Here is a 14,054-nt window from a genome sequence, read left to right as displayed (position 1 = left end):
AGGCGCGGTGGCTCACGCCTGTAATCCCAGCACTTTGGGAGGCCGAGACGGGCGGATCACGAGGCCAGGAGATCGAGACCATCCTGGCTAACACGGGAAACCCCGTCTCTACTAAAAATACAAAAAATTAGACGGGCATGTTGGCGGGCACCTGTAGTCCCAGCTACTCGGGAGGCTGAGGCAGGAGAATGGCGTGAACCCGGGAGGCAGAGCTTGCAGTGAGCCGAGATCACGCCACTGCACTCCAACCTGGGCAACGTAGCGAGACTCTGCCTCAAAAAGAAAAAGTATATATATATATATATATATATATATATATATATATAAAGTATATATATATAAAATATATATATAAAGTATATATATATAAAATATATATATAAAGTATATATATATAAAATATATATATAAAGTATATATATATAAAATATATATATAAAGTATATATATATAAAATATATATATAAAGTATATATATATAAAATATATATATAAAGTATATATATATAAAGTATATATATAAAGTATATATATATAAAGTATATATATAAAGTATATATATATAAAGTATATATATAAAGTATATATATATAAAGTATATATATATAAAATATATATAAAGTATATATATAAAATATATATAAGGTATATATATATAAGGTATACATATATAAGGTATATATATAAGGTATACATATATAAGGTATATATATAAGGTATACATATATAAGGTATATATATAAGGTATACATATATAAGGTATATATAAAGTATATATAAAGTATATATATAAAGTATATATAAAGTATATATATAAAGTATAAAGTATATAAAGTATATATATAAAGTATATATATAAAGTATATATATACACACACATATATAAATATGTATATAAATATGTATATATAGATATATATACATATATATGTATATATAGATATATATACATATATATGTGTATATAGATATATATACATATATATGTATATATATGTGTATATATGTATATGTATGTATATATAAATATATATATACATATTTCTAGCATATGATGGACAAGGGGTTAATATCGTTAATATATAAAAAAGATCACAAGCCAATTAGAAAAAAAAAGGCTATCACATCGACTTAAAAAATTAAAAGGTAAATTATAAAACAGCCAATAAATATAAAAAGTGTTTAGCTGTACTATTGATCGAAGATAAGAAGTAAACAAAAATACACCAGTTTGATTTTTTAAATAATATTCAGAGTTTTGAGAACATAGTAACATTGAGATGCTAATATGTTTATAGCTGTGTGCCTCTCTGGAAAACAATTTTTGAATAGGTATATGTATCCTTTTATCATTACTAAATTTACATATAGGATGAATAATAGTATTTACTATTACAGGGCTTTAGGGAAAATTAAATGCATATATAAGATTACTGTTATTATTTCAAATTTACAGTTAAAGAAACAGGCTTAGTGAGGTTGTGTGACTTGTTCAGGGCCAATAAGTTCTGTAAGAAAGCATAAATTGGAACAATTTCTTTCTGTCTGCAAGGATTATGGCTGATTTTTTTTTTCCACTATTTTTTGGTCTGTATTTTTAAAATTTTTGGCACTGAACTTCAAAAACAGTGTTTTTTATAACAAGAGATGAACAGAGACACTGAAATATTGCATCCTTTTTAATGGTTGTTACTCATTAAAGAACATATCATTTATCTACAGATTTTTTTTCTTGATGCATAAAAATAAGATGGATAACATTTAAACTTTAGTGTGTTTAGAGTATATATTCTCACCAAGTAGATATTCTTTTCAGTTAGTTGAACTTTAATCATAACTGTATATAGGACTTATATTTTATGTCCATATAATAACATAAAGACAAAATTAATGTTTTTTGAAACATGAAAAATTAATGAAAATTTTAAAGTTATGCATCTACATCTTGTAATTTTGTTTTTACTTGCAGATGGAGAACATCATTGCAACAGTAAGAGATTCCAACCTCAAGCTGACCCTTGCTTTCGGGATAGGAATGCATCATGCTGGACTACATGAGAGGGACCGAAAAACAGTAGAGGAACTATTTGTAAACTGTAAAGTTCAGGTACTTTTTTTTCTCCAGTGAACACATATTTAAATGTAACTTAAAAGTTATATTTTACTTAGATATAAGATATTTTATTTTGCTTTTTAGGTTCTTATTGCTACAAGCACATTAGCCTGGGGTGTAAACTTTCCAGCTCATTTAGTAATTATTAAGGGAACAGAATACTATGATGGAAAAACAAGACGTTATGTGGATTTTCCCATTACAGGTAATTTTCTTAAATTCACAGAAATACATGAAGCTCTATTTTACCCTGAGTAAATTTGAATTTGAATAATTAATTTGAATTTCCACCAATTAAACTTCTGAGAATTGGTCACATTTAAACAGATGATAAGCAATTATAGACTTTTTGTTTTCAGTTAAAATATTATACAAAATATTGCTGCTGTATTTACTTTTACTTACACAAAAGTAAGAAAATAATAAGTGGCTTAAAGTACTTGTTATTAAGCCATCCAAAGTTGGTTTCAAATTTATAAATAGATAAAAGTACTTCTTAGGAGCTATTAGTGAAATTCCTTAGTAAATTATGACTAAGTATTGTTTTGCTTAATTTTAAATGTGTTTCACTAGAAATGATACCTCCATGGGATTTCCAGAACCAAAGTGTTTATTGCTACAACTTATGCATGAAGACTCTGTTAAGATATTTTAAAACATGATAAAAGCATTTTCAGTGAGTTCAAAAAGGGAAATACACTCAATGTATATTTCCACTAAATGAATACATGTAAAAGCTGTATCATTTCTAAATCATTAGTTATCTCAGAGATTTATGTAGACTAAAAGAAAGAAATTTTATACCGGGGTGCAGGGAGGACAAGGCCTAAATGGGTTCATTATTCACGGGGAAAATAATCAAATGACTCTGCTGAAAAGATTTTTGTATATATATTTTATTTTTTACTTTTTCTTATTTAATTAAAATAATATCTATTAAACAGCATTTTAAAGCATTCCACTAAAGGGAATTTTCATCTTTCTTACATCTATAAATGTTAAGAAAGACCCTTTCAAAGACTCAGTTTTTCATCATAGTTACTTGCTTATTTATCAATTTTCTGAGTTAATTATATTAATTTAGGGAACTCAACGTAGTAGTAGCCATCAACATAGCAAACATATTATCACAATATTCTATTTCTTTTGTTATTTGGTTGATTATAGAAGCATGCCATAATCAGTAAATATACCTTGTGCTATATGCCACATTGTAGAATATCTCTTTGTTCTCTCTTTTAAAGATGTCCTCCAGATGATGGGGCGTGCTGGGAGGCCGCAGTTCGATGACCAAGGCAAAGCTGTAATTCTAGTTCATGACATAAAGAAAGACTTTTATAAAAAATTTCTTTATGAACCTTTCCCAGTAGAATCAAGGTAAATCTTATTTAAATTAGTTTAAATGGATTTATTTAATCACAAGTTGGTGTTTTTCTGGTTATATTTTATTATATAAAAATCAGTAAAACAGGTAGCTTAGAAGAATTTAATATAATGTGAAACAATATAATTATCACTTTATGACAATATTCAATTATAATTTAAATGTTAAAAATAACTTTTTAAAATAAGCAGTATAGTACAGTGTTCAGACGCATTGACTATGAAGCCAGATGACCAGGGTGAAAATCTGAGCTCTACCATTTACTTGCTTGATCTTGAGCAAGTTGCTTAACACCTCATTGCCTTATTGCACCTATTGTAAAATGGAGATGGTAGCAAGACCAGCTATCTCATAGAGTACTAATAATAATCAAATACATAGTGCTTAGAACAGTGTCTATCACATAATAAACATTTAATAAAGTATTAGTTTGGTGAGGGTTTTCATAGTACAGTTGTACAGTTAATAAATAAATATCCCAAATAAGGGAGCATGTAATTAATGATTTAGGCTGCTGGCTCATTTGAGAATCATCCTATACCTCTTTTGGGACCCAGTAACCACTACCCCTTTCTCAAAGTCTTCTCTTGTATTCTCAGCTGAAAATAACCTTTCTTCCTTCAGGTTTAGGTATTTTTCACTTATAAATACTTATCACTTTCTACCTTTTATCATAGTCCTTTTCTATATATTGGATCTCCTTTACCATATTCTAACTGCATTGAAGACAAAACATCTGATTTATCCTGTATATAATTGTTGGTTCTTTTTATTTTTTATAAGTGCTAATAATGTTGATTTTAAAAACTTAAAAAGTCAGCCAGGCAAGGTGGCTCTCACCTGTAATCCTAGCACTTTGGAAGGCTGAGGCAGAATTGCTTGAGGCCAGGAGTTTGAGACCAGCCTAGGTAACGTAGATAGATCCTGTCTCTACAAAAAAGTAAAAAAAAAAAAAGTTAGCCAGGCATAGTGGTTCATGCATGTGGTCCTGAGGCAGCAGGAGGATTGCTTGAGCCCAGGAGCTTGAGGTACATGTGTTGTAACACCACTGCACTCTAATTTGAGCAACAGGGTGAAACTCTATCTGCAGAAAAATAAAGGAAAAAGAAAAAAAAATTAGTAGTCTAAGTACTGATCTCAAGAATTTAGAAAAAAAAATAGCGAATTAAACTCAAAGAAAGAAAAAGAGTAAGAATTAATAAACTGAAAATAAACATAACTAGAGAAAAATCAACAACACCAAAAGTTGGTTCTTTTAAAAGGATGAATAAAATTGATAAATTTTTTAGTCTAAATATCAGGAATGGAAAAATATCACAGACTGGAATAATAATAGGATATTAACAACCTAATGCAAATAATATTTAAATTTTGTATCAAATAGTAAAATTTCTTTTAAAAATTACTAAAACTGACACAAAAAGATAGAAAATCTAAATAGTCTCTCATCTATCCAAAGCAATTGAATCTGAAATTTAAAATCTTTTAGAATGAAATCTTCTGACCCAGAAGCTTCAATGGTGAATTCTTCATAACATTTAAGGGTGAAATAGCATCAATCGTACACAATCTCCTCCTAGTAGTGGAAAAGGGAAGAATACTTGCCAGCTTGTTTTATGACACCAGAACAACTTGGATACCAAAACCTGATAAAAAATTTACGAGAAGGGAATATAACAAACGTCTCTCATTAATATAGATGTAGAAATTCTAAACAAACAATAGTTAATCAAATCAAGCAATGTATAAAAAGATAATATATTACTACCACATGCAGCTTATTCTATAAATGCAAAGATGATTATTTGAAAAATGAATGGATATAATTCACCACATGAACAAAAATGAGAAAAATCATATAATCATTTCATAGATGTAAAAAAAATTGATGAAATTCCATACCTATTTATAATAAAACTGTTAGCAAGCAGGAGTATGAGGGAATGTTCTTAATCTGATAAAGAATATCTACAAAAAATCTATATCAAACATCATAATTTATAAGAAGATATTGAAAGCTTTCCCTTTGAGATAGGAAATGATAGAGGGATTTTGCTGTCACTTCTTCCAGTAAGCATTGAGCTACAGGCCCAAACCACTGCAGTAAGGTAACAAAAAGAAATGGAAGTCCAAATATTCTTTTGAGAAGAAAGGGACTAGAAAAGCACAACAGGAGGGCTTCTGGGACACTTTCAATGCTTGATGTTGATGTTGATTACACAACTGTGTTCACATTGTAATAATTAATTGTGTTGTACCTATATAATTTATGTAATTTTTTCTGTGTATACTTCGATAAAAAGTTAACTAAATTTTTTTTTGGTTTTGTACCTTGATATGACCGTTATTATTTTATGTATTACATAGTATTTCATAATTTATTTATTCATTTCTCTATTAATGTGCACCTAGAGAATTTCCAGTTTTCTCCTCTTATGTATAACGTTGCAGTGAAAGATTTTCTTTCCTATTCTCACATGTAAATGTTTCTCTAGCAGATCATAATGAAAAAGTGAAATTGCTGGTTCATAGTGATTGTTCAGATAGATATTACAAATTTGATCTCAAAATTGACTGGACCAATTTGTAGTCTGCAGCTGGTGACCTGAGAGTAACATAGCAACTTTTTTAAAAATTCAACTTATTATAACTATTTTCTCGTGTCCTTTGCAAAAACTATTTTTAATACCTGCATATTTTTCCATGAATTATAGTTTTACTTAGCTTTTTCTTTTGTTGAACATTGCTTCCTTTTTTATATTTAACATAAGAAACTAAACTAAACATTTTGTTATACCAGTCTTTCAACACATCTGATTATCTTTGTGTACTCCACAACACCTAATACATAATGTCTTATATGACTAGGGACTTTAATATTTACAAATTAATGAAGAGAATATATTTGCTCACTTTTCTGTTCTAAATAGCATCTCTTTGTCAACTCTCCTTTAATCTGCCTCAGTACTTATTCTATACTTGCTCCATGTCCTGTACCTGTGCTCTTCCTTCCTCTGCAAGATATCTCTTCTGTTGCCTGCTCTTACTCTACCTCTCGTGGCTGTCCTCATCTCCTGAAAGTCAGTAGCTTTTTTTTTGTCAGCTTGTATTTATTTTACACCTAGCAATTTATTTTCCAAAAATGATTGGTAGTGATAAGTGCCATTTATTGAGTACATACCATGTGACAGGCACTAGTGATTGCTTTCAACAAATTATTACTACTGTTAACTTAATCTGGAAAAATATTATTATAATAGTACTTTTGTGACATTCTAACTAGCCCACTTTTTATTCACATTTAAATGAAAATTATAACATACTTCTTTAAAAGAAAATGAGAACACATATATGTACTGGTGAATAATACGGGTTCACCTGAGTTCATGATACTAAGTGATTTATAGACTCATGGTTAAAGTATGTTGGAACCAAATTCCCACTAAATAATTTGGAATGAATTATTTACACAGTATACAAAATTATATACTAAATATTTAAGTTATATAAAACAAATTTGTTTTTATCTTAGAACATAAAATCTGAATCTTGACTATGTGAGATAAATTTCAGTGTTTTTAGTTTAATGCTCTTGTATGCTTCCCATGTCTTGTTCACTATATAGTTTATTAGGAGTGCTCTCTGACCACTTAAATGCAGAGATTGCTGGTGGTACAATTACATCTAAGCAAGATGCATTGGATTATATCACCTGGACTTACTTTTTCCGACGTCTTATCATGAATCCCAGGTAAGTGCAAGGGCAGTTATATACCTTTCTGTTTTGCCCCGAAATAAGACATATTTGAAAGTAATAAACTCCAAATTAAGGTACATACAAAAAAGGCAGAACTTTGGAGATTCTAGGTATATGAATTTGTCTAAAGAATCAGATGATATCTCTGGTATCACAGTATATAAAATATCAATAATTATATGCATTTGTTACTTAACCTATTTTAATTACCTTAAGCCATCCTGAGGAGTTTGCTCTGTAATTGAGACATGAGATACCTGAAGTCATTAAGAAATGTGCTAAACTACATGATAGTGACTGACTTAGATGCAGTTGGAATTCAGAAAAGAGTGAGGCTTGTGAAGTTGTAGGTGGAAAAAAATTTGTGGGGCATTTATAAGTGTTAATAAGAATATTGCAAGAGAAAATAAAATTGAGGTGTGGTAGAATGTCACTCCAGACAGTATGTTAGATCTTCGTTCAGCACTTACTGTTTTTCAGATGGTAAACTAAACACTGAGATGTAAAAATGAGTACATGACTCCCTGTTTTTTAAGGGCTGATCTTTAGTGTGGGAAAAACCATATAAGTCGTTACAATGAATATTATAAATCCTCTAGTAGAACGATATTCAAGCCTATGAGAGTGACAGCTTCACAGAAAAGGTGACACTTCATCCAAATCTTGAATCAGGAACAGGAGTAGAAAAGGCGGAAGGCACTTCAGGCAGAATTAAATTATGTGGGCAAAAATCCTCAGGGCTTGAAAGAGTCATAAGCATTTAGAGAATATGAAAAAGTTTAATGTAGCCAGAACCTAAGGAGAAGGGAGACAAGATTGTCTTGACTACAAAGTAGGCCAAGAACCAGAGGCTACAAGGCCTTTATGCTGTGCTAAGTAGTTTGCATCTGATCCTAGAGGCTATGGTGAGTGTCTTTAAATATGGATTAACATTACCAAATTACGTTATGTTTTGTTAAATATTTATTGCACTATGGTAGGAAGTGAAGTGGGATGGAAAGACCATTACAGCAGGAAGGCCAGTTAGGAAGCTACTGAATAATAGGGAAAAGATGATGAGGACCTTAGATACAGAGTGAATGGAGGGAGGGTCAATGTTAAGGCACATTCCAGATGTAAGTAAAAGAAAATATTAAACCATTGTAAAGTCTTAGAGAAGTCATGATGAAAATGTTCTTACTAAATCTTACCTACTAACACCTTAAGAAGTTTCTTTTCAGCCAACATTTTCACTTACTTAGATAGGAGTTTGAGAATATGGTGACATTTTGCCCAGTTCCCTCCACCGTTAGGGTGTCTGGGTTAGGTACTAAATATTATTTGAGAACATAGCTGCAAAATTAGTGAGATAGCCATCCAGAACTGCACATTTACCACAGTAAACAAACACATTACAGGATTAGAATCATGGAATAGACTTCACATTTATTCTAGCCCAATCTTCTTGTTTGATATTGAATATATGGAAGCTGGAAGCTTTAAATCACTTGTTCTAGGTCCCATTACTATTTCTTGATAAAGCCAGATCTTACGAAGTCAGGTTTTCTGACTCATAATCTACAACTGTGTGTGTGTGTGTGTGTGTGTGTGTGTGTGTGCATGTGCATGTGTGTATAGATGGGAGTTGGCATGTAACTGTAGATATATTTATCATTTCTATTACATAAGAATCAAGGCATTTAGTGTGACAGAAAGAGCTTTGGGCTTGGAATCAACACACTGATTCTTATTTCCTCACTATCCTTTACTAATGGTGTGAGTCTGAGTCACTTTACCTCTCTGAGCTAGACGTTCTTCATCTGGAAAGTAACGAATAGCCTCCCTCCCTCACTGGGTCATATTGAGAATTAAATAAATGAATTAAAGCCATTCTAATTCTGTATTAATTATAAAGAATATAATGTCGATTTTGAGCTGCTGTTCTGGACTCTCTGTCAGTTGCTTTACTGATCTGTACCATCCTAAAGAGTCTAGTTTAGAGATAAGAACCTAGTCATTTTAGTCAGTTTGTCTAATTAGCACACAGAGACATAATTCTCTGAGGCCAATTTAGTACTTTAGCAAATTGTAGTTCCTTACTGAATCCACAGATACGTTGCCCTTTGTATATGTATCTCCTTTTTAAATTTTTTTTTAATTGTTGAACTTTCTATTTTAAATTGCAAAAAAAAAAAATAGTACAAAGCAGCACTGTATACCCTTCACCCAGCTTCCCCATGTTAACATCTTACATGACCATGTCTAATTATCAAAATCAGGAAATTAACATTTATACAATACTACAAGCTATTCAGATTTCACCAGTTGTTCCACTAATGTCCCTTTTCTGTCCAAGATCCAGTTAAGTACCCTGAGTTGCATTTAGTTGCCCTGTCTAGTTCACTCTAGTCTGTGATATTTCCTCAGTCTTCCTTTGTCTGTCATAACCTTGACATTTCTGAAGAGAACTGGCCAATTGTTTTGTAGAATGTCCTTCAATTTGGCTTTTGCTGATTTCCTCATCACTAAATTCAAATTATGTCTATTCAGCAAGAATATTACAGAAATGATATTGTGTTCTTCTCAGGACATAATATTAAAAGGTTCTTCTCTGCTGGTCCTATCTATATTTAAAATATCACCTTGTATGTGAAAGACCCTAAAATATGTGGCTATAATCTGCTGTCTATCAAGTTACAATTTTATTTCTCCAGCCTTCTGAATGTTGCCACATGGACTTCCCACCATCATTTCACTTTAACATGTCCAAAACTGAATTAATCATGTAACTCTAAAAATCTTTCTCTACTCTAACTTTCTTACTTTTCTTAATATTATCACTGTATCTGTTTACCTTGACTTAAAACCCCAAGTTTGCTTTTTGATCTTCCCTCTCCTTTGCTTCCATAGTCCTCTAACTGCTTAACCTGCTTTTAGTCTGTCTTTCAATTTTGCCTACTTTGTAAACTGTCAGATAGTATTGATCAGAAATTAAATGTATTATATAGGGGGTGGGAACTAGATAAGGTTTAGTTAGCAGACACAGAATGCAGTAAATCTTTAAATTAAGATAATGAGTAGGAAATTGTCCAGTGTTTACATTTTTTTCAACCATAAGAGTGAGATGAGCCAGGAGCACAGTTGGAGACACGGGTCAGAACAGGGGTCCCACACACAGGGAGCTGGGTAGGTATGACTCCCTGTTGCTCTGGTTACAAACTGCCTTCTATTTTATAATATTATGGTGAGAAAATCCACATGAAACTGTAATAAACAGTAGTAATGAAAGAACAGGAAGTTTGGGGAGACTTATCACAGTAGACAAAAGATGAAATCTTAAGAGGTTTATTAATTACAGAAATTATAGTGAGCCTCTGATCCAGAGTATTCTTGGGTATTAGCAATTTAGGATGTCTCCTGCTCACACATGGTGGTAGTCAGTGTAGTCCATGTAAATAAATGAGTATTCTTTAGTTCACACCTCTTTAGCTGTAGGAAATTTGGGGACTGAAAGTCAGAAGGGTAAATTGTCTTCATGCATTGACTAAGAGCTCTTAGTAGTTGTGGCAGCTGCTTTCCCTCACATCTTGCTACCCCAAAAAGAGGGTTGAGTATCTCCCGCCTACCACCAAAGGGGCTAGTGTAGATATTAACCCACACCGTCTACATAAGAGGTTCCTCTCACTTTTGTGCTTCTGCTGTCACTCTTCTTCTTGCCTGCAGTACCCTCCTCAGCCCTTACAGCTAGCCAAGTCTTAACAGTCTAAAAAGTCCAGTCAATATTGATAAATGTAGCTTCAACTGATTTTCACAAGTAACAGTTTATCCACTTTTTTTTTTTTTTTTTTTTTGAGACGGAGTCTCGCTCTGTCGCCCAGGCTGGAGTGCAGTGGCGCTATCTCGGCTCACTGCAAGCTCCACCTCCTGAGTTCACGCCATTCTCCTGCCTCAGCCTCCCGAGTAGCTGGGACTACAGGCACCTTCCACCATGCTCGGCTAATTTTTTTTTTTTTTTCAGTAGAGACGGGGTTTCACTGTGTAAGCCAGAATGGTCTCCATCTTCTGACCTCGTGAACCGCCCATCTCGGCCTCCCAAAGTGCTGGGACTACAGGCATAAGCCACCACGCCTGGCCCAGTTTATCCACTCTTGACCATTCATATTTCATGTGTTGGTTCCTTCAGTAGCCACCAATACATATGTTGAGATACGTGGCTGGGCTGTCATTATTATTCTGAAGTAGAACCCTATGCCCAAGCTGTTGCCATGTAAGTTCATAAATCTAGAATAGATACAGCAATAATTTGTTTTTCAGAAAAAGCTATGATTGGCAACTCTTACTTTCTGTTGGAAGATAGTAGCAACATAAATAATGACTTCTAGCCTCAAAAATCATAAAATTTACTTAAAATTATAAAGTATAAGCATTTAAAAATTAATTTTTTTATTTCTTAATTCTGTAAACATTTATTGAGTACCTACTATGTTCCAGGCACCACTCTAGCCACTTTGAAGATGTATTAGTAAACTAAACAAAAACTTTTGCTATCTTGGCACTCATGTTCTTTTAGCAGAGACGGTAGATTTTAATATTATTAAAAGGTAATAGATGTTTAGAAGGAAAACAGGATAAGGAAGATTGGGAGAGCCAGAAGGCGGCCTGGGGGGAGATGGGAGATTACAATACTGTATTAAAAAGAAAGTCAGGGTGGGCCTCATTAAGGGTGCTGATATTTCAGCCAAAACTTGACAAAGGTAAGAAAGTTGACCACTTTCTAGAAAACAGCATTTCAGGCCAAGGGAACAAGAGAGATATTAAGGCTGGCATGCCTGGTGTATTCAAGGAACAACAAGGAAAAGATGTCGCTGAAGTAGGATAAGTGAAAGCAGGAAAATAGCAGGAGATGAGGTTGGGGATGTGGAGGGCCAGTGGTGATATAGGGCATGGGTGGTCTTAGAAACTATGGTGAGGATTTTGACTTTCGTTCTGGATGAAACAGGAACCATTGCAGAGTTTTGAGCAGGGGACAGATGGGATCTATTTATGCCGTAAGTCAGGTCAACTATAATAATAAATATTGTAAATGATTTAAACTTCCCTGTTGTAAAAGAGAAATTATCAGATTCATTCAAACGTGATTGACATAGAAAAGCTGAAATTTAAGGATTGAAAGAAGATGTAAAGGAGAATGATAGCAAAGAGAAAACAGCAGCAGCAGAATTAAAATCATACAAAACCAAATTCGAGGCAAAAAAATACAAAGGACAAAGAAGAGTGTATCATATTGGTAACAAACACAATCACTAGAAAGTTATGGTAGTTTACAGATTTTTAGAGAGACTAAAAATAACATCAGATATGTAAAGCAAAAACTGAAATTCAATTAAAATTACAGCCCAACTAAATTAGTCATGTTAGGAGACTTTAACACATCAAAAAGATAAGTATTTCATAAAAAAGAGGATTTAAATAATAATATCCTTGAATTTGTATCCATTGTATCTTTGTACATATGTCCCTAACAAAATATCATTACTTACAAACACTAATGGAAGATTTGTTTTGAAAAATTTACTATGAAGTAGACCCCAAAGAACATCTCAACATAGAGATCATAAGGCTACATTCTCATTGTGTAATATAATAAAACCAGAAATAAGCAATAAAAGGGATGGCAAAAAAATTTAACTGCTTGGGATTATAAAACTTTTATTGTAGTAAAAGATGAAATCAAAACGAAAGGTATAGACCATAGCTGTACAAAAATACAAATGTAATAAAACAATGAATTTAAACCAAAGCACAATTCTAAGGAATATTTATATCTTTACAGACCTCATAGAAAATGTGAATGCTTAAAAATAAAATAAGCATTTATCTTTAAAAACTAGATAAAGAACAATAGCAAAATGTAAATATAGGAAAGAAATTTATAAAAATAAAAATTGGAATTAATAAAGTTGTAAACAAAAATCTGCATTGATAATATTTATTGGGTGTCTACTATATTTGAAATGCTGTTTCAGGAGCTTAACTCATTTAGTACTGTTATGATCCTCATTTTATAAATAAAGGAAGCACAAGGAGAATAAGCAACTTGCTCCCAATAGCACAGCTCCCAAGTGACAGAGGCAACACTAGGATTCCATCCCATTCTCCATCACTGTGCTCATTGTCAGGTCCACATTCCCTGTCCACTTCTCTTTTCAGTGCTATGCTGAACAATGGGTTCTTTATGGAAACTCTGCCATACTCACTCAAATGACCCTTTTTATTTGATGCCCCCCAAAAAACAAACTGTCAGTTTTAATATATAAACCTTCACATCTAGATAAAAATGGAAAAATGTGCCTAAGTAAATTTTGACAATTTATATATTTTACTTAGCTATAGTCAAGCTCTGCCACCTTCTTTTTTAATTGACTCTTTTTTAAAATAATGCTGCTATAAATATTTGTGAGATTTTGTGTGAACATAAATTTTCTTTTAAAAAATTTTAACTGATAATTATATTATGGTGTACAATGTGCTGTTTCAAAACGTGTACATTGTGAAATGAACAAATCAGGCTAATTAACATATCGATCACTTCACATGCTTATCATTTCTTTGTAGCAAGAACATCTACTCTTTTTAGTAATTTTAAAATACACAATACATTATTATTAACGATAGTTACCATGCTGTGCAGTGCATCACCAGAACTTATTCCTTCTGTCTAACCGAAACTTTATGCCCTTTGACCAATTCCCCCTTTGCTTGCATGGCTTTCCCAACCCTCATGGCCTCTGATAACTGACATCCTACCCTCTACTTCTATG

General features: G+C 32.2%; 1 protein-coding gene across 5 annotated transcripts in view; it reads left to right on the top strand.

The window, feature by feature from the left end:
* ASCC3 (activating signal cointegrator 1 complex subunit 3) overlaps window positions 1-14,054 on the top strand; it is a 373,136-nt gene that overhangs the window by 272,272 nt on the left and 86,810 nt on the right. For all 5 annotated transcript variants that reach the window (NM_006828.4, XM_011535394.4, XM_047418108.1 and 2 more), the window contains 4 exons: window positions 1,970-2,107; window positions 2,198-2,318; window positions 3,358-3,490; window positions 7,123-7,248. In NM_006828.4, the coding sequence (NP_006819.2) occupies window positions 1,970-2,107; window positions 2,198-2,318; window positions 3,358-3,490; window positions 7,123-7,248 (518 nt within the window). The remainder of the gene's footprint in view (window positions 1-1,969; window positions 2,108-2,197; window positions 2,319-3,357; window positions 3,491-7,122; window positions 7,249-14,054) is intronic.

The sequence above is a fragment of the Homo sapiens genome, chromosome 6, assembly GCF_000001405.40.
Source record: "Homo sapiens chromosome 6, GRCh38.p14 Primary Assembly".
Classification (NCBI taxonomy): domain Eukaryota; kingdom Metazoa; phylum Chordata; class Mammalia; order Primates; family Hominidae; genus Homo; species Homo sapiens.
Note: the sequence above shows the minus strand (reverse complement) of the source record. Positions and strands in the feature narration are given on the sequence as shown.